This window comes from Homo sapiens, chromosome 11, assembly GCF_000001405.40.
Source record: "Homo sapiens chromosome 11, GRCh38.p14 Primary Assembly".
NCBI lineage: Eukaryota > Metazoa > Chordata > Mammalia > Primates > Hominidae > Homo > Homo sapiens.
The window spans coordinates 56,395,413-56,417,257 of record NC_000011.10 but is presented as its reverse complement, the minus strand read 5'-3'; the positions used below and the strand labels follow the sequence as shown (position 1 = coordinate 56,417,257).

At 37.7% G+C, this 21,845-nt stretch overlaps 1 pseudogene across 1 annotated transcript; it reads right to left on the bottom strand.

Moving 5' to 3' along the window:
* Positions 1–3,574: 3,574 nt before the first annotated feature.
* OR5AL1 (olfactory receptor family 5 subfamily AL member 1 (gene/pseudogene)) lies at positions 3,575–4,562 on the bottom strand (annotated as a pseudogene). Its single transcript, NR_145506.2, has one exon. The product of NR_145506.2 is annotated as an olfactory receptor family 5 subfamily AL member 1 (gene/pseudogene), transcript variant 1, noncoding (transcript).
* Positions 4,563–21,845: the final 17,283 nt, after the last annotated feature.

The window sequence follows — 21,845 nt, the reverse complement described above, 5'->3', positions numbered from 1 at the left end:
ACAAGCAGGAAATAAATCAAACTTTTTCTTGTAATTATTTCCCAATGAACTGAAAATGTAGCTGTTACTTTAATGGACCTTGACATTTTCTGCAAGAACCAGGCAGATCATGAAAAATCAGTACGAATTAAAGCATTCAATTCAGGCCATCACAGTCTTGGCAGACCACTGAAACCACGTTCAAATACAAACAGAGACACACTCATATATGCAAACACTCATAGGTGTATTTAAAGCAAAGGCAGCAGCATGTTTTTGTTAGAGTTTGGGATGCTGAAACAAGATTGAGTTTGAACACTATTTCCTTCATATTAGCTCTGCAACCTTGGAAAATTGAGCTAAATTTTGTGTGGCTTTGTCTCCAAGTCTGGGAAATAATAGGACCTAACTCATTGCTCTTTTTTTAAGGATTGTACAGGTTAATATTTATGAAATGCTTAGAAAAATATCCAGTGATAATAAGTGTTTTGGAAGCCTTAGGTATATAAATGTTTGTTATATAAAGTTAGAAATGAATTTATTTGGCCTGGCACAGTGGCTCACACCTGTAGTACCAGCACTTTAGGAGTCAAGGGTGGGAGGATTGCTTAAGCCCAGGAGTTCAAGACCAGCCTGGGCAACATAGCGAGACCTTCTCTCTCTCTCTCTAAAAACAAACAAACAAACAAACCAAAACATAAAACTATTAAAAAATAAATTCATTAAGGTCTTCAAGGCTAATTAGTCAAGTAGTCCTACTTGCTACAATCAAGTAAACATATGATGTGTGTGAAGTTTTCTCTCTAAATTGAAGGTCACATAACTAGCAATATGAAAATTCTAAAAGCAAATTTAGGTTTATCTGAATTTTTTGTTAACACTGTGGGTGTTAAGAATGAGGTTAATTGGATTTAAATGTGTCATTATCAGATTTTTTAAAAAATATAATTGGAAGAACATGTTTTATAAGAAATAATTTTTAAAATAAACACCTTCATTGTACTTGCATATTTGTTCAATTAGAAAGTACCCTATGTTATTATGTAATTTATTTGTGCCTGCTATTTATTCAGTCACCCTTGTAGATGATGACATATGATTAAAAAAAGTGATATGATACATTTTTATTGTTTTGACATTTCAGAAAAAGTAGTGGTTTAAAATTATTATTTTTTTTCAATTTTACAAGGAGATTATGATACTTGCAGCCATTATATAAAATACAATTTGAGCTTTACAATATACTGTGATTATTTCCTCTTCTGTACTTTCTTTGTAAATGACTCAGATATGCTACCCTGAGGTGCTTTTAGAACCTTGTGAGTGGAGTGAATTACCTGGCCTTTAAAACAGGTTTAACAGAGAAACCTGGTTTTTCTACTCTCCACACTTTGTCTTGTGAGTGTATATTTCTGTGGATGGATATACACAATATTCTCACATATCAGAGCCACGACAAGAGTCATAGACAGTCTCTCTTTTTACAGGTAGTGAGATTCAGGTCTACGGATCCTGAAAATTCACCTGGAGGAGATTGGTCTTCTGTGGTTTCACTGCACCTGCCTACTTGATAGAATTATTTACAGTAGCAATGTTTAAACATTAATTGAATTCTTCATGTCTTTACAGAGTTATAATTCCCTACTATTAACAATCACATATTGAGATAAACCTAGGTTTTCTAAGGGAAATGAGCTAAGAAATTCAACTTTACTCAATAGACTTTTTTTTTTAAATGTTTATTCTTGCGCAGATACACGCAGTTCTGTGCAGCCTCTAAAACTATCATCTGAAAATTGCTCCAGGTCACTGAGTTCATCTCCTAAAACACCAGTCCTTCAGACAAAACATTGAAATAAACACTATTCAGTCTCCAGGCATATTTAAATAAATACTTGTATTTGTCACCCTTCTGTTTGTGATCTCTATGATGTTTCTGTATCTAGGTATAGAATAAATACAGAGGCTGACAAATAATATAGGTCTTTAGCGGTGTCTAAGATCAGTGGAGAACATGCTTGATTCCAGAAAGATTTGACCACAGATTTGAGTTTTGATACTTCTAGTGTATAATATGTAAAGCTCAAATACCTTATAAAACAAGAAACATGCTTATTCCACAAGCTACAGTATGAGTATGTAGTAGAAACATGTGTGAAGGCCTTGGCATGATGGCTGTCACCTAAAAGAGCCTTGGTAAGTATCAGCTTTATTATTATTGGTGAACGACCCTTAATACACTTTCTTGTAAATAAAATTTTTATATAATTTATTTTTGTATCTACAACTGATTAGTGGTCCACCTTGAATAAATACTCATCTCCATTCAATGTTATAAAAATTAGCTGAGGCAATCCATTTTAAACACTTCACCCAGAATTTGATACAAGAAAAGCACTCAGTAGACGGTAGCTCATTCATACTTTGAAAAATTAGGAGTTCAATAAATTCGTAATTTATTAATCTAGTCTTTGTTAAATTAAACAAAAGTGGTTTTATTTTTTAAAAATGCATATTTTAAGTAACGAGTATGAAGGAACCTAAAAGAGTTATTTTAAAATATGTCTATCAATACACACACACGATGAAATTTAAAAGAATTTATTTTAAAACACCACAATAAAATAGCTCCTTAACTTTTATATTTTCTTTTTGTTGATTTTAAAATAAAGAATATCATATTGCCAGCTATCTCAAACTTTATTACCTTACTATCCAAGGCCAAATAAGAGAAATAATTGGTATAATAACAATGTCAATAATTAAGTGTAATACACACCATATGTGAAGTACCAGCTGTGTGCTAGGAACTTTGCAAAGCTCTATATTTATAATGTTATTTAATCTTCACAATCAGTCCAAGAGATAAGAAACTACAAGCGCATTTTGAAGATGAGGAAACTAGGTACAAAATGTGAAATAATTTACCAATGACAACAGTTGATTATCACAGAAACTAAAATTATTAGTCAAACTGTTTGAAGATTTGAAGAGTCCAGTTACTAATCAGATGCTTATATAGAGCAGGCAGTGAATTATAATGGTGTGAAATGGCTCTAGTGGTCCAAATGGATACGGAATTCATGGTAACTCTGCTGGTGCTACCCTTCCCAGTAGAATGCAGAGAAAGTAGAGTGCTAAGGAAATTATCCAGTCTTAAAACCAAGAAAAGTATCCTTGCTATTTAAACTTTGACACTGTTTCCAGATAATCTGTGCAGCAAATTTGAAATGTAAGATAACAGATGTTGAACTTTAATATAATTCAAATATCACACATGATTTAAATAAAACAGCTATTTCCCATGCTGTTTATTTCATTATTGATGAAGCTGTGTTGTTCAGAGAGGAGTAAGATTCTCTCTCTCTCTCTCTCTCTCTCTCTCTTTCCTTTTCTTTTACAATTCAATGACATAAAATTTACCAAATGCATTTTATGTGGAAACTATGGAAAACGACACAGTGGATGAAACATACCCTGAGTGATGTTGAGTAGCCAAACTACGGAATTTGGCTCTGTCATTTACCACCAATGTGACTCTAGATAAGACACAACTCAAAGTCCTGGGTTTTGCCTCTGTCTAGGGATTTTTAGGTTATTTGACAGCCAAACATAACTTTTCTATAATTCTCTTTAGTGCATTTTTTACCTCCTGATTTCTTAAACTATAGATCAGTGGGTTTAATGTAGGAATCACTACCACATTAAACACAGAAGCAACTTTATCCATATTCAGGGAATGGCTTGACTTGGGCTGCGGGTACATAAAAATGATTGTTCCATAAAATATTGTGATGGAGGTCAGATGGGAAGCACTGGTAGAAAATGCTTTCTGTCTCCCTTCAGCAGAATGTATCCTCAGGATGGCAAAGAAAATGAAACCATAAGAAATCAGCACAATTACTAGAGAGCAGAGAGTATTGAACCCAGCAATGATTAACAACATCAGCTCTTTGACATGAGTGTCAGAACAGGCCAGAGCCACTAATGGAACATCATCATGGTAGAAGTGGTTGATCACGTTGGAATCACAAAAAGACAAGTAGGATGTCGCCACTGTCTGTACAAGTCCCACAGTGAATCCATACACATACGTGCTAGCAATCAGTTTAATACAGTTTTCTAGGAATGAGAATGACATAAAGTAAAGGGTTACAGATGGCAACATACCGATCATATGCCATGATTGAGAGCAAATATAATTCACAAACTACAAATGTGATGAAGCAGCATACCTGAATGGCACATGCATAAAATGTTATACTTTTAACTTCACACAGAAAATTTACCAAGGTATTTGGGGCAACAGATGAAGTAAAAGAAAAATCAACAAAAGCCAGATGGCTGAGGAAAAAATACATGGGTGTATGAAGCTGAGGACTGATTTGAATTAGCATAATCAAACCGAAATTACCCATAAAGCTAGCTAAGTATACTACAAGGAATATACCAAAGAGAGTGACTTGAAGCTCTGCATTATCTGTGAGCCCCAAGAGGATAAATTCATACACTGTTGAATGATTGCCTTTGGCCACTGAGTAGGTATAAAAGTTTTCTTCCAGAAAACCCTTTAGAGCACACATTCTGAGTAATGGTGTTCCCAATGGAAATAATGAAGCAGATGTTAGGAAATGATTCTGACCCGCCCTGATCTTATGTTGAACACATTGAAAGGAGCATCTTCAGGCTAGTTCTGCTTTCTGAATAAAATAATTTGTCCCAAGTAGAAATTCCAAAACATGCATTTCTGTGGAGATTTGTAAAGATAGAAAGATGACATGTTAAAGGTTTACATAATTGAATGATCTATGTCATGTCTTTCTTTTAATAAGAGAAAATCAAGATAGAGAGTTATTTGAACACAGATAACAAAAAGCATTTTAAAATTACTGGGGCTGGACATGGTGGCTAACACCTACCTGTATCCCAACACTCTGAGAGGCCAAGGCAGGAGAATCACTTGATCCCAGGAGTTCAAGAACAACCAAGGCAACGTAATGAGACCTTGTCCCTATTAAAAAATATTTTTTAAAATTAGATCACTTTAAATAAAATTGTACTAATTCTTCTGGAAAATTTTAATTCACACGAAATAATAAGTTTAAAAAAATATTGCACAGTAGGTATACGAAAGTTCCTAAAAAATTATGGGTACAAATAATCTCTTTATAATACATTCAGAATTATTTTTTTATTTTTACTTTTTCTTTTATCTATCAATAATTCTTAGTTTTTCTTCAATTGCTATGTACTATTTGTGAATTAAAGATAGAAAAATGCTTAAAAATGTGAATAGACTTGCTTTTAAAAATATTCATAACAGCATTATAAATGCATTAAGTGATCCAAAAAACACATTTGTCATGTTTCTTAAAACATCCAGATGCAAAGCAGGAGAAGTAAACAATTCTAGAATGAGTGTGTAAAAGTACAACCTGGTTCCTGGCTAATTAAAAGTAGCCAGCATTTAATGATCTTCACTTGAACAGAAGTGATATAAATTTAATTTTTTGTTATTATTCTAGCTTAGATTATCTTTACATCTAGCCTATATAATGGCCCTATGACTATCATCTTTATTTTCACATATAGAAACTGAAGCTGAGAACTTAAGCCCTCTTCATGCTTCATGACTGGCATAAGGTGAAGCAGAATAACTCATTACCTAGTCTGTGACTCCCTAACCTCAATCCATAGTTGATGCAAATTATCAGAAAGGCAAAAATTTCTGCATCAACAAGAGATCAAGGCAACTTTGATAAAGCAATCAATGAATTCGTCCATGCCAAGTGCTTCAGGTAGTGACTATCTCATACTGTTTGCCAAATAAATCAATTTTAGCTCTTGATAGCGTTAATATTATTTAGATTGAGGCTTACTCTGCAGAAGCCTGTGAGTAATCTCTTCATATTGATGATTGTAGGAGCTTAATCTTTTTTGGAATATTTTGAAGTGTTCTTCCATTGCCTGTCTAAATTGTAATCTCTAATCCTTACCTCTCCTGGCTCTTACTCTTTTCAGTGCTTACATTGCTGTGCTGAATTGAAACCTGTGTGCCTTTTGCTCTGATATTACCAGACTCTCCAACATCTTGAATCATTTGATTTCTCATTTCTTAAAACAGAACTTGGCTACTCCTTGAAAATCTGTTTTTCCTCAGGACATTTCTATGCTCAATTTAAAATTCTCCACACATTTCAAATATGGCAGGTGGGATAAGGCATTGCTGATGCTTGGAAAATTGCTGCATATTGATAATTATATCTTGCATTTGTGTCAACTCCCTTGATGCTTTGAAGCTTACACACTTATATGCTTTGTCACTGTATTAGTCCATTCTCACATTGCTGTAAAGATACTACTCAAGACTGGGTAATTTACAATGATGGTGGAAGAGGAAGCAGGCACTTTCTTTACAAGGCAGCAGGAGAGAATGTACATGCAAAGGAGGAGCTGTCAAACACTTATGAAACCATAAGATCTTGCGAGAACTAACTCACTATCATGAAAACAGTATGGGGGAAACCACACCCATGGTCCGATAAACTCCCACTAGGTCCCTCCCTTGACATGTGGGGATTATGTGTATTACAATATGAGATGAGATTTGGGTGGGGACACAGACTCAAACCATATAATTCTGCCCCGACCCCTCCCAAATCTCATGTACTTTCACATTGCAAAACCAATCATGATTTCCCAGTAGTCCCCCAAAGTCGTAACTCATTTTAGCATTAACTCAATATCGTACAGTCCAAGTATCATCTGAGACAAAGAAAGTCCCTTCTGCCTATGAGCCTGGAAAATCAAAAACAAGTTAGTTTCTTTCAAGATACAATGAGGGTACAGGCATTGGGTAAACACTTTCCAAATGGGAAAAATTGACCAAAACAAAGGGGCTGCAGGCCCCATGCAAGCTCAAAATCCAGCAGGCAGTCATTAAATCTTAAGGCTCCAAATTAACATCTTTGGCTCCATGTTTTACACCCATGTCATGCTGATGCAAGAGGTGGGTTCCCATGGTCTTGGGCAGCTCCACCCCTGTGGCTTTGCAGGGTACAGCCCCCCTCGCAGCTGCTTTCATGGGCTGCTGTTGGGTGTCTGAAGCTTTTCTAGGTGCATGGTGCAAGCTGTCAGTAGATCTGCCATTCTGGTGTCTGGAGGATGATGGCCCTCTTCTCTGGGCTCCATTATGCAGTGCTCCAGTGGGGACTCTGTGTGGGAGCTCCTACCCACACTTTCCTTTCACACTGCCCTAGCAGAGGTTCTCCATGAGGGCTACACCCCCAACAGCAAACTTTTGCTTGGACAGCCAGGCATTTCCATACCTCCTCTGAAATCTAATTGGAGGCTCCCAAACCTGAATTCTTGACTTCTGCTCACCCATAGGCCCAACACCACTTGGAAGCTGCCAAGGCTTGGGGCTTGCAGCTTCTGAAGCAATGGCCTAATCTGTATGTTGGCCCCTTTTAGCCATGGCTGGGACATAAGGTACCAAGTCTCAAGGCTGCACCGAGCACAGTGGGGCCCTGGGTCTGGCCCACAAAACCATTTTTCTCTCTTAGGACTCTGAGTCTGTGATGGGAGGAATTTCTGTGAAGGTCTCTGACATGGCCTGGAGACATTTCTCCCGTTGTCTTTATGATTAACATTAGGCTCCTCATTATTTATGCAAATTTCTGCAGCCAGTTTGAATTCCTGCCCAGAAAATGGGTTTTTCTATTCTACCATATCATCAGGCTGCAGATTTTCTCAGCTTGTGTGCTCTGCTTCCCTTTTGAATAAAAGTTCCAATTTGAAACCATATCTTTGTAAATGCATAAAACTGAATGGTTTCATAATAATCCAGGTCTTGTCTTGAATGTTTTGCTGCTTAGAAATTTCTTCTGCCAGATACCCTAAATCACCTCTCAAGTCTGAGGTTCCACAGATCTCCAGGGCAGGGAAAAAAAAATGCCACCAGTTTCTTTGTTAAAGCATAGCATGAGTGACCTTTACTCTAGTTCCCAATAAATTCCTCATCTCCATCTGAGACCAATTCATCCTGGACTTCATTGTTCACATAACTATCAGCATTTTGGTCAAAAACATTCAACAAGTGGAAGCTCCAAACTTTTCCATATCTTTCTTCCTTCTTCTGAGCTCTCCAAACTGTTCCAACCTCTGGCCATTACCCAGTTCCAATGTCGCTTCCACATTCTTCGAGTATCTTTACAGTAGTAACCCACTCCTGGCATCAATTTACTGTATTAGTCTGTTCTTACTGCTATAAAGATACTACTCGAGACTGGGTAATTTATAAACCAAGGTGATTTAATTGATTCACAGTTCTGCATGGCTGAGAGGCCTCAGGAAACTTGCAATCATGGCAGAAGTGGAAGTAGGTATCTTAACAAGGTGGCAGGAGAGAGGGTGTATGCAAAGGAGAAACTGTCAAACACTTAGGAAACTATCAGATTTCATGAAAACTCACTTACTATCATGTGAACCACATTGGGGAAACCATCGTGGATTGAATCATCATTCAACCCATGATTCATTCAACCCATGATTCAATTACCTCCCACTAGGTTCCTCCCTTGACACGTGGGGATTATGAGGATTACAATTCAAGATGAGATTTGGGTGGCGACACAGAGACAAATGTTAACAGTCACTTATGTATTTCCAGGTCAGTCCTTGTTATTTATTGAGAATGTTGACACCAAGATCACTGTCCTGTCACAAAGTTGTCATTAGTTCCCATGAACTTGACACATTTAACATACGGCTTTTCTGATTATTGATTATTTTTATCAGTGACCCCAGCACCATTCCACTTCAGCTTTCCACCCCCATGGTTCCATGTTTAAAATTATTTGTCTACAAGTTTACCAAATGCTAGATATCCAAAACTTAAACATTTTCTTATGATCACAAACTTCTACCCTCCCCTTTTCACCTCAGTTATGACTACAGGTCTTCACTTATTCACACATATCACTATTCCTTAAACATCTTAAAATACTCATTTATTTTGTCACTTTATTTTTTCAATTCTTCTCCTATACAGCTTAGTCTCCATGACGTATTGCTTCAACTACGCTTCCCAACAACCAACATTTTTTTAGGTATACCCAAATCTGGGTATTTTGTAATGTTGTCTTCACAATGAAATCTGAGCTATCAAGAACAACAGTTAAGAAAAAGTGAACTATTACAAACTTATATTCAAAATCAGCTACTTATTTACTTGACTGACTTTTCCTTAACCAAGGGCTTTCTCCCAATCTGCATGTTGCTATTTCAACCCTTTCAATTCTATCCATGCTACTCCTACCACACATGCTAAGCAGTACTACTCCTACCACATATGCTAAGCAGATGCTAAACTTTTTGATATTTAAAATGGGAATTAAAATACTAAAATATAAATTTCTCTACTTCTTGTCACCAGTTGTGTGAAACTACCTGCTTCCACATCTATTCGTATTACATGTTTTTGTGGGGGTGGGGGATTGGGGAGGTCTCCTATTTCTTATACCTAAATTTATATTTTGGTTCCATTCTCTTTGGCCTTCCACGTCTCCTTCCTCTGCTAATCTATTAAATCTCTCCCATCAATCTACTACTCCTCCACCTTTATTCCTTTACCTTTATTCTTATCTTCATTCTTTTAGTACCAGAAAAAGTTACCAATGCTCACTGCATCCTTCACGTTTGTACATCAATCTCTTGTATTTAGATATTTTTTTCTTAGCATTGCAATGCAATTACTCTCTCCAAATTCACCAACATTCTCTTTTCTCCCAAATCCAATGAAGATTTAAAAATTTCACTTCTCTGTAGCATCAGACACCACTAGTATCACCTTTCATCATGAAAACCATTATTTTGTTGCTTTCCAAGCCATCAGAGTCTCTTGGTTTTCCCATCTTTGTGTCTACTTTGTACTTCCCTTGATGGCTGTACTTCTTTGTTTATGATTTAAATAACCCTATTACTTTACAGTTATTTCCTAAGCCAAACCATGTCTTTTTTGCATATTCTTGTTGGAAGCTATCATCCGATGCTATGGGTATCATTGCTATTGATGTGCTGGCGATGCAGATGTCTAGATCTCCAGGTCACATTTCTCCTTTGAACCCTTTGTACACATATCTACTTGCTTTTCAGACAGATTCTATTACATATTCCAGATGTACCTAAATTTAACATGTTCAAGGAGGATTCATCAGTTCAAAAGCCACCCAACCCCACTCACATGCCTCTGAGTATATATTTTATAACTCACTAAATGGTGCCATCTGCCATGCAGTTTAAAAACAAAAACAAAAACAAAAATTCATATGTCCCTCTAATGTCCACTAATAAACCATAAGTGAATGCTACTGATTTAATCTAGATTTTGAAGTCTGTCTACTTCTAATATCCTCCATATTTTCCTTATTAGAGCCTCAAATAACTGCTGGGGATTGTTACCCTCTAACTGTTATCTTCCAGGCAGTTTTGCCACCCTATATCCATGTGGCACCTTGAGGGTACGTTCTAACATGCAAATCTTAGCTTTCTGTTTCCCATTAGCTTTGGACTACAGCCCAAACTTCTTAACCTGGTTTATTAAAGCTTTCCTAAATAAACCCTTCTTTGTAAACTAGTCTCCTTTCTTGCAATTTCCTTTATGCAATCCCCATGCACCAACCATGTTGCATACCATCAGTTTCTCAGATGTGACCATGGACTTTGAACATAGTTTGGCCAGAATACTCCTTCCTTTATATCTTTGTTCCTCTGGCTGGCTACTATCTTTCCACTTGTCAAATCTGAGGTGAAATTTTACTTCATTCTAGAGGTGTTTTATTATCTCCCGATTATTACCTCCAACAATCTAGTCACCTCTTAATTTGTTTGTAAGCTACTTTAAATTGTTTAATTCTCGATAAGCAAAGATTTATATTTTCCCCAATACTTAGCAGGACTCAGCAATTACTAGACACTTTAAATAATAGTAGAATAAACGAACAAATGAATACAAAGTTTGTGTTACCTGAAACCCCATTTTTCTACCTCAATTACCTTGATTTCTTTCCCACTACATCTTGCTTTTGAGTAATGCACAACAACCAAAAAGATTCCAATGTATCCTTAGGCAAATTCTGTGAAGGTCAACAATACTTAACATTACTTAAGTGTTGTGAATATATTTTGTATAATCTGTTGGTTCCTCTAGAATATTCTCATTGAATTACATCATTTTTAACAATTCTGAACCAAAGACACAATGATGTTTCACAAGCATGAGCAATTATGTTATGGTTGATCTTTTGGGACCCAATTTGTTTAAAAGGCAAAAAATAACCACTTAAAGGGCAGGTTACTATCCTGAACTAAAGTATAATAAAGAATTAATAATGGATAGCAAAGGTTATTTTAACATATGGGAAACAAGTCAAAATGTTTTGATTTATTTTTTATACTTTGTTTTAGACTTTATGACATTTATAAATTTTAGTAAGTAGTCCTGGTATACACTCAATCAAAGTTAGTTATCTTGCAGTTGAGCTTTACAAGCCTACAAAGTAATGATTTGGATTGTACCAAAGATGCACCCTTATATCTGAAACTCAATAACCTGTTGAGCAGTAAGCAAATAATAATCAATCCATAAATTCCTTATTGTCCTGGAGGTATATTTAGTTCAATCTCTGAACATTATTGTCTGAACGTTCTGTTCAAAGTGTTCAAAACTTTGAAATTTCGTTGTGCTTCCTAAGGTCTTTTGGAAAACATTTAAAATCACGAAGATAACAAAGAAATTAATACTTCATCTCTTCAAGCCCTTAACACACTCTGTTCATCTGCATTCCACACACCCGTAGGGATGTAGAATGATAAATTGAAAGACATATAGATAAAAAATATCATAGGAAATCACTTATTTTTACAAAAGAAAAAAACAGGAAGAAAAATTTAGTCTTACTGAATGTGAATTTTTTATTAGAATAATTGCTCTGATTTTTCATAATATGACTCCAACAGAATTGAAAGCAACTACAAAAATATTAAATAAAAATTTTGTGGAAGTCACCATATTTTTCTGGATTTTTATGTCTAACTAATCTGTGATGATTATACTACTCATTTTCCTTGGAGTCTTGAAAGAAACTCAAGGAAGCTTGAAAGACAATTACATATACATGGGTAAGAACCTCTGAGAATCTGTTCTTCAACTATTTTAGAAAGTTTTTAAATTTTTTTTACTTCTGTCAAAATCACAATATCTAATTTTAGGAATTCTTCTTAAAGTTAATTTAATTAAAAATACAATTATTTATGTCATCATTATTGGTTCAGCCATCTATTGCTAAATAAAAATTTAGTCCAGACTTTAGTGACCTAGAGCAATGATTTGTTATGTCTTAGAATTCCATTGTGCTAACTAGACTGTTCTCCATGTGGTGGCAACTGAGACGGTGAGAAAGCTGTAAGTTCTAAGATGACCTCAGTCACCTGACTGCCTTTTGGTGAGGCTGTCAGCTGGAATGTTTTGTTTTTATTCATGCAGCATCTCCATAGGTCTGCCTTGGGCTTTCAACATGGCAGTTGGGTTCTAACATTAAACCTTCCCATGAAGAAAATACAGACACTTCCAAAACCCTTAGGGTCTACCCTTAGAAGTTGCACAATATACTTTTGCGCTTTCTATTATATAACGCAAGTTACAAGGCCAGAGTTCATAGGGAAGTGGAGTATGCAAGTATTCATGTGGACAAAGGGATTCATTGTGTTCATTGTGGACCATTTGGCAATAATCTACAACAACCATGATCCTGAATCTGCCTCAAGGCACTTAAAAAAAATAAAAAAAACAGATGAGACCATGGATCATTTGTTAATATCCAAGAGTAAAAAAGAATTTTCAATTCAGAAACATTTAGCTCCTAATCCTGATTTTGCTTTATATAAGATGCCTGTTTGCAAGCAAGACATTCATTTCCTTTACGATTCATTTACAAAATTGGGATAATTCCCACCACACAGGCTTACTATAATGACTTAACTTGGCTAATATGAATCAATAAAGTTTAACTGCTTTATAATCACAATATTTAGTGGTATAAGCCAACTTATTTTCTTATAACCAGAATTTATTAAATTTTATTTTTATCTCGCAATTATAAATGATTTATCCAAAGTATAAGTCTTAGAATGATTTTTTTTCCGAGTTTGACACGAGATGTTTTATTCTGTATATTAAATAATTTTCTTGGCCTTGGTTTCTCTGAAAAAAATATGATACTGTATAGCAAACTTCCTTAAAGATATATGAACTCTTCCGTTTCAAAATTTTGCAAATGGAGGTTTTAATCACCTTGATGTTTATTTCACAAAACACCATGATGTTTTACCATTTTGATAGAATCTTGCTAATTGTAAATGTTGAACTCTGAGTGGCAAGATCTCTAAATGCCTTAGTAACACATATAAATCAAATGGTAGGAGAAGAAAAGCCACAAAAATTCAGAGTCCAGTGGTTTCCCGGGTGCATTTGCTTCAAGTTAAGTAAGCAGTGTTAAAGCAAACTAAATATGTCCTGAGAAGGACTCCGTACTTCTATATTTGAGTCCTTGTGGATGAACTGTAACCTAGTTTAATAGTCACACAAAATTGAAAACCTAACTTAATAGTATGCATCTGTAACAATAGCTGAGGGTTGACCAATCCCAGCGGCCATACTTCAACCACTCATAGACTGCTGAGTTTTAAAACTGCCTTCAAATAAGGCAAATGCGGAGCTATAACCAATCTCACTGTTTCTATACCTCACTTTCGATTCCTGTACATCACTTTACCTTTGTTGTCTACAAATTTGTTCTGACCACGAGGCACCCTTGGAGTCTCTGTGAATCTGCTGGGATTCTGGGGGCTGCTAGATTCACAAATCGTTCATTGCTCAATTAAATTTCTTTAGATTTAATTTGGTTGAAGTTTTTCTTTTATCAGATGGCGTCAGAAGCGGGAACCAAAGTGGAGCTTCTAGCGACCCGCAGGAGTGCTGAGTGAACAGCAAGGAACCTGCAGGATCCACTTGTGTCCCTTGTCTCTCAGAGCCGCTGGGGATCATGGGTAAGCTCCCTTTTGGGTCTTGGAACTCCACGGATTTGTGTTTTGAGCTCTCCAAGTTACTTTCAGCAAACGTCTGATCCAAACTGGGTTTGGAGTCGCAACAGAAACTGGACTGTGTCTAAGAACGGATTTGATCTGGGAATTAACTGGCTTGGATCCAGTTACAGGCCTCTTACATCTCACTGGGTCAGAAAGGAACTGGTAATAAGCAGTAATATTGCAGGGGTTATAAAATTTGGATTTGAAAATTCACAGGGATTTTTGTGTTCTACCCCTTTGTTTCACTTTTCTAGCGCGCTTAGTTGGGGAAAAAATTGTTGGTTAAGTTAATCAAGAGAAACTGAGAGTAAAGCCAATGTTTTAGGTAAAAATGAGATCCTTAATTTCTGGAAAACTGAGAAATTTCTCGGTTTTCTGAAATTTATAGAAACTGAGTATAACCTTAAAACTTTTGGCTTATATTTTAAGCCTGGGAGGCAGAGAAGTCTTAGAGAAACAGCAAAATCTTACTAAAGATAACTTAAAGTGGAACATTCCTAATGAACAACAATGCATTGAAGTACATTTAAAAATGAGGGCTCTCGCCGGACGCGGTGGCTCAAGCCTGTAATCCCAGCGCTTTGTGAGTCCAAGGCGGGTGGATCACGAGGTCAGGAGTTTGAGACCAGACTGGCCAATATGGTGAAACTGGGAGGTGACAGCATGCTGGCAGTCCTCACAGCCCTCGTTCGCTCTTGGCACCTCCTCTGCCTGGGCTCCCACATTGGCGGCACTTGAGGAGCACTTCAGCCCACCACTGCACTGTGGTAGCCCCTTTCGGGGTTGGCCAAGACAGGAGCCGGCTCCCTCAGCTTGCAGGGATGTGTGGAGGGAGAGGCACGAGCGGGAACCAGGGCTGCACGCTGGGCTTGGGGGCCAACTGGAGTTCTGGGTGGGAGTGGGCTTGGCGGGCCCCCCACTCGGAGCAGCTGGCTGGCCCTGCTGGCCCTGGGCAATAAGGGGCTTAGCACCCAGGCCAGCGGCTGCGGAGGGTATACTGGGTCCCCAAGCAGTGCCAGCCCACTAGCTCTGCTTTCGATTTCTCGCGGGCCTTAGCTCCCTTCCTGCGGGGCAGGGCTCGGGACCTGCAGCCCGCCATGCCTGAGCCTCCCACCCCCTCCGTGGGCTCCTGTGCTGCCCCAGCCTCCCCGATGAGCGCCGCCCCCTGCTCCACGGCACCCAGTCCCATCGACCACCCAAGGGCTGAGGAGTGCGGGCACACGGTGCAGGACTGGCAGGCAGCTCCACCTGCAGCCCCGGTGCAGGATCCACTGGGTGAAGCCACCTGGGCTGCTGAGTCTGGTGGGGCCTTGGAGAACCTTTATGTCTAGCTCGGGATTGTAAATACACCAATTGGCACTCTGTATCTAGCTCAAGGTTTGTAAACACACCAATCAGCACCCTGTGTCTAGCTCAGGGTTTGTGAATGCACCAATGGACACTCTGTATCTAGCTACTCTGGTGGAGCCTTGGAGAACATTTATGTCTAGCTCAGGGATTATAAATACACCAATCAGCACCCTGTGTGTAGCTCAGGGTTTGTGAATGCACCAATTGACACTCTGTATCTAGCTACTCTGGTGGGGCCTTGGAGAACCTTTATGTGTAGCTCAGGGATTGTAAACGCACCAATCAGTACCCTGTCAAAACAGACCACTGGGCTCTACCAATCAGCAGGATGTGGGTGGGGCCAGATAAGAGAATAAAAGCAGGCTGTCCCAGCCAGCAGTGGCTACCCGCTGGGGTCCCCTTCCAGACTGTGGAAACTTTGTTCTTTCACTCTTTGCAATAAATCTTGCTACTGCTCACTTTTTGGGTCCACACTGCTTTTATGAGCTGCAACACTCACCGCAAAGGTCTGCAGCTTCACTCCTCAGCCAGCGAGACCACGAACCCACCAGAAGGAAGAAACTCCGAACACATCCAAACATCAGAAGGAACAAACTCCAGAGGCGCCACCTTAAAAGCTGTAACACTCACCGCGAGGGTCCGCGGCTTCATTCTTGAAGTCAGTGAGACCAAGAACCCACCAATTTTGGACCCAAAACCCCATCTCTACTAACAATACAACAATTAGCTGGGTGTGGTGGTGCACGCCTGTAGTCCCAGCTGCTCCAGAGGCTGAAGCAGGAGAATTGCTTGAACCCGGGAGGCAGAGGTTGCAGTGAGCCGAGATCGTGCCACTGACTCCAGCCAGGGCAACAGAGAGAGACTCTGTCTCCTCCACCAGCTGCCCCCACCAAAAAAAATGAGGGCCTCAGTAAAGTCCTTTTTGGCTAAGAACGGGTTTGGCACTACGGGATGTCAACTGCTATTCTCTTTGGAATAATCTGCCTTGCACTTTTTGCTGACAGCTATGAGTGACAGGATTAAGCATGCAGGATCTTGGGACATGGGGAGCTTTTTTCTCCCTCAAAAGGGGAAACTTAAGAGCTAATGGGACTTCTGGAAAAAAAATTCCTTCACAACAGCAGCCACAATTTCACTGTCGCTGCAAATGGATGGGTCTTTCTCTGGCCTCTCTGAACATTTTGTCTTTCCCACCCTGCCACAGGCAATGCTTTTCTCAAAAATTCAAACATTATAAAATTAAAAAATTAAAAATGTAAATTTCTGCCTAGATTAGAGAATTAAAATATTGTTTTAAAAAATTAAGCTAAAGGTTTGAACAAGTTGTTAAAAGTTTATGGAAAGTAATTATAAGAGATTCTATGTGTGAACATATTGGCTAAAGTTAAAATGGCATTATTCAGTTTTTTTTCCCATGAATTAAGCATTAGAATAGAAGCACAACAGAGTTTTTTTAGAACATTGCTCTGCTCTGAGGAAAACAAAATGTGAAGGGGTTATAAAAGGTTTATAAAAATCTTACATTATGGCCAAAATAATTAAAACTGAATAGATTTATAAAATGTTATTAAAAACTGACTTAAACATTAAAAATACACTAATGGAAACATAAAATCTGGTTTTCTCTTTTAAAAGAGAAATGTAATATTAAAAGATAATGAAATGTTTTTGTTTACCTTCTAAGTAAACTACAAAAGAGAAAAGGTGGGGGAAGGAAAGAAGGGAGACAGGGTCAGTTGTCCTCATGCTGTCTTCATTGTCTTGTTTGGAAAGCTGAGTCTCCTATGTATCAGAATAATGTTTCATCCTTTAAAACATTTTTGTGTTATTATTTTGGCTAAATGAATGACTTATGTAACCTAAGATTCTATTTTGTAATATCCAATGTTTTAAACCTTTGGTATTGACCAAACCTTTCAAAATCAAGCTCTAGATTATCATGCTAAATCAGTCAATACTAAAATTGTTTAAATATACAATGTAATTGAACTCCATGGTCTAAGTCAGATTATGATAACCCATTAGTTATCAGTGCTATGCACCTAAATTGGAGAAACAACTGGTATTCAAGAGGACATGAGTCCACTGTTAAGCATGGATTCATGAAGAACCAGGATGGCCTACTTGTCCTTCCTGAGCCCTTCAAGCTTTTGTTGTTAAAGGTTCTACCTTCCGTAACTCGTCATGGGAAAGACAAAATAATCTAAATTAAATATATTGATGTGGTGACTTATAAATTGCAAAAATAGTTTAAAACCAATGTTTGGTTCCATATTCCTGGGAAGACAATCAAAGCTTCAGATACAATTGGCTACCAGATGGACCATTTAAACATTTATAAAGGGATTTCATTCCATTGTCATTTTTAATGCATGTTTTCTGGTTCTATTAAAGGTTTTCCATGCAAGGGAGCTGATGTTATTATACCAGTAGTTTATTATGCTACAGTGTATTTTCACTAGTAAATAAAGCTTTTTATGGTTCACTGAGGACAGTTCCTTCACAGTCTAGAGCCTGAAGATTGGATCTTCTGAGAACATCTGAGGAAGACTGTCCTTGCCATCCACACTACAGCAAAACTTTGGCCCCTTGAATTTTGGGTTTATAATCTCACAACTGAGAAGGTTCCTTCCACACTCCTGGAACTGTACACCCATTGGAACCCTTAAGGTAAAACTAACCAGGGAAGTTTCTCCCCAGAAGAAGATGGAATACTTGATGTGAACAGCTTTTCCCAAGATCATGGATCAAAACTTCAACTACCATAAGACTCTTATCTTTGAATATTTTTTCCTTGTTATGTCTCTATGAACAACAATAGAAGTGAAAAGGGGTTCCATTATGTGCAATTATAGTGTATACTTTTCTTTGTGAAGGATTTTCCAGCCAGTCTTATACATGAATAAACTTATACTTCAATAGATAAAAGATGAAGGCCCAATATAGGCGAGAAACTTTAGTGGTGCATATGTTGCCTCATAATCAGTCAAAACTCCTCTTAACCCATATCATGAATTAAAGAGAACTTTATCAGGAGGCCTTCACTCTTCTAGAAGGACATCATTTATTAAGTTCTTTTTCCATGGTTTAGAATAAAAAAGGCCATAATCAGAAATGTCTCCCTCATAATAGGCTCAACAGCAAATTACACTATAAAGGATATTGTTACACAACAAACTTTAAATTGTCCTGTGAAAGTTATGCTAAATAATAGATTGGCTAAACAGAAAAGCACATGTGCAGCTGCTGACACTTGTGGCCTATGGAGAAATACACCAAATGTAAAATATAAAAATTCAGTTGCAGGGGATTAATGAAAGACCACTTAGTCAAGTGAGTAGACTTTGCACCTAGCTCATTCTTTAATCTATTTAATTTGTTTTGTTTTACGGGGACCCTGGGTAAGGATAACTCCAAACTCTTGGTGTTATCCTCCAGATATTCATAGTAATAGTTTCCCTGATGCACTGTATTTTTCTCAAAGGCTTTAAATGTTTGCATGCAGCCATCTCTAGAATGTCAAGTGCTTTCTCTTCAACTAGAATGACGAAAGCTGAAAGAAATGTGCTACCATGAGGACACCGTAACTTATGAGTGACATGCTGAGACTAGAAACCCAAAATGATGGTAACTGAGAGTGGTGCTAAGGCCCTAAGCTTTGGTCACACTTTCATCTAAGTGAGAACCTGAGCAAAAAGGGGGAATTTTTTTTAAACAAAATTATGGGAGGCCATTATTTTGGACTAAGCTCATGGGCGAGGCCCTAGCAAACCAAACCAAATGAAAATGGAGTCACTTGTGCTAAATGTGACATAATCAAACTAAGGCTTCAAGAAAACACTTAGATCCTAGAACAAAACAGGTTTTGTTTTTCTCCTGTAAATAAGATGTTCCAGCACAAGGAGGTACCCTCTACTCAGTCCTTATTCTCTCCTTACAAACCTCACTGTTTCCCAGTGGGTTTCAAAACTGTATAAGTACATTTATGACAGTGATAGTAACATCAATGACTAAGGTTTCAATCAATCTCTCAAAATTGAGGAAATGAACAAAAAGGGGGAATTGTTAAAAAAAAAATAAACTAAATATGGCCTGAGAAGGACTCCATACTTCTATATTTGTGTCCTTGTAGATGAATTGTAACCTAGCTTGTCAGACAAAATTGAAAACCTAACTTAATAGTACACACCCGTAATAATAGCTGAGTGTTGGCCAATCCCAGTGGCCCATACTTCAACCACTCATAGACTGCTGAATGTTCAAACTGTGTTTAAGTAAGGCAAATGCTGAGCTGTAACCAATCTCACTGTTTCTGTACCTCACTTCCAATTCCAACTCACTGTCACTTTAACTTTTTTGTCTATAAATTTATTCTGACCACGAGGCACTCCTGGAGGCTCTGTGAATCTGGTGTGATTCTGGGGGGCTGCCTGACTTGGGAATTGTTCATTGCTGAATTAAACTCCTTTAAATTTAATTCGGCTGAAGTTTTTCTTTTATCTATGGTAGTTTTTGCTCATCTCCTCCAAGTTAGAAAACACATTGCTGTGCCACAAGTTTAGAAATAAGTGTAGCACTTTTTGGAATGATTTAGGGTTACCATAAACAATATACTATGCTGGGGTCTAGAGCTGTAAGCCATTTACTGGGTATTCCAGAAGACTACCTCTTTTGCCTCAGTCCCAGAGGAAGAGTAGATTTGGAAAGTGATCCAATGATGTTGGAGATATCTGTGCTGGGAAATAATGATACTTGGTCTCTGGAAAGTCCAAATCAGCATCACAGCACAGACATTGAAGCAAAGCCAGACATTCTGATGAATACATGAAATAGTTTTCTGTCTGAAACAAAGTGCCAGATGAAGGGACACCAAGTAAACATTAAGCATCAGCTGTCTATTCTGTACTTGATATTATAAGATTCACCAACTTATAAGTTTGGGCAGCCACAACAGCAATCCATTGCAAATGGAAATTATTCATATACAACCTGGTTAAATCAGGTTGAGATGGCATTAACAAATTATATAAACAGCGAGTTCACGGTTTTTATCACCTATTCCTGCTGCATAGACCCTTTTCTGTCAATATGTGCTATTATTTCATGGGCTAGAGGTTCCAACTGAGGAGTTTCCAAGTAAGATTTGTGCCCAGTACAAATAAGGGTTGCTACATCATGTAGAAAATAATCAGATATAAAGTTGTGCCACTTTATAGTCCCACTAGGAGGTGGCCTTGAAGGATGACGGTGAAAGCAAACTGTCCCAGTGGGTAGAATATTTGGTCTTCCACTTCATATGGAGAAAAGGTGGCCTGAAGAAATGGATATATACTGATTCATAAGCAGTAAGAAATAATATTGGCCAGTTGGTTAGAGGACTGGGAGTAACGTATTTGAAAAAACGTGGTATCCTTGGAAAGGAGATTTTAGATAATTTTGTAGAAGTGGGCACAAGACATTAGTTTCATTTTTAACTCCCAAAGATTAGCTCTAGCAGAGGAGGCTTGTAACAATGAAGACTGGATAACCTGTCCTGTAGATGGCAGTCATCCTTTCTCCTCTCTTGCAACCTCAGGGCTTTTACATGTATGCAATGGCACTGTGAGCAGAGCAAACAATGTCAGGAATGAGCCTATACATATATTCAACAACAATTTACAATATTGCTTCAGAAGAAAATAATACATTTTATAGCAACGAAAGTTTGATGTGATCATGCTATATAATGAATGGTCTCAACATGTACTCATCACTGACAATCATTTTGCTTATAGAATATGGACCCCTTCCTTATACAAAAATTAACTCAAGATGGATTAAAAACAAATGACACTTCTCAAAAAAACAGACACTTCTCAAAAAAAGACATGTATGTGGCCAACATATATATGAAAAAGAGCTACACATCACTGATTATTAGAGAAATGCAAGTCAAAACCACAGTGAGATACCATCTCACACCAGTCAGAATAGTGATTATTAAAAAGTCAAGAAACAACAGATGCTGGTGAGGCTGTGGAAAAATAGGAACACTTTTACACTGTTGGTGGGAATGTAAATTAGCTCAACCATTGTGGAAGACAGTGTGGCGATTCCTCAAGGATCTAGAACCGGAAATACCATTTGACCCAGCAATCCCATTACTGGGTATATACCCAAAGGAATATATATCATTCTACTATAAAGGCACATGCACATGTATATTTACTGCAGCTCTATTTACAATAGCAAAGACATGGAACCAACCCAAATGCCCATCAATGGTAGAATGGATAAAAAAATGTGGTACATATACACCACGGTATACTATGTAGCCATTAAAAAGGAATGAGATCATGTCCTTTGCAGGGACATGGGTGAAGCTGGAAGCC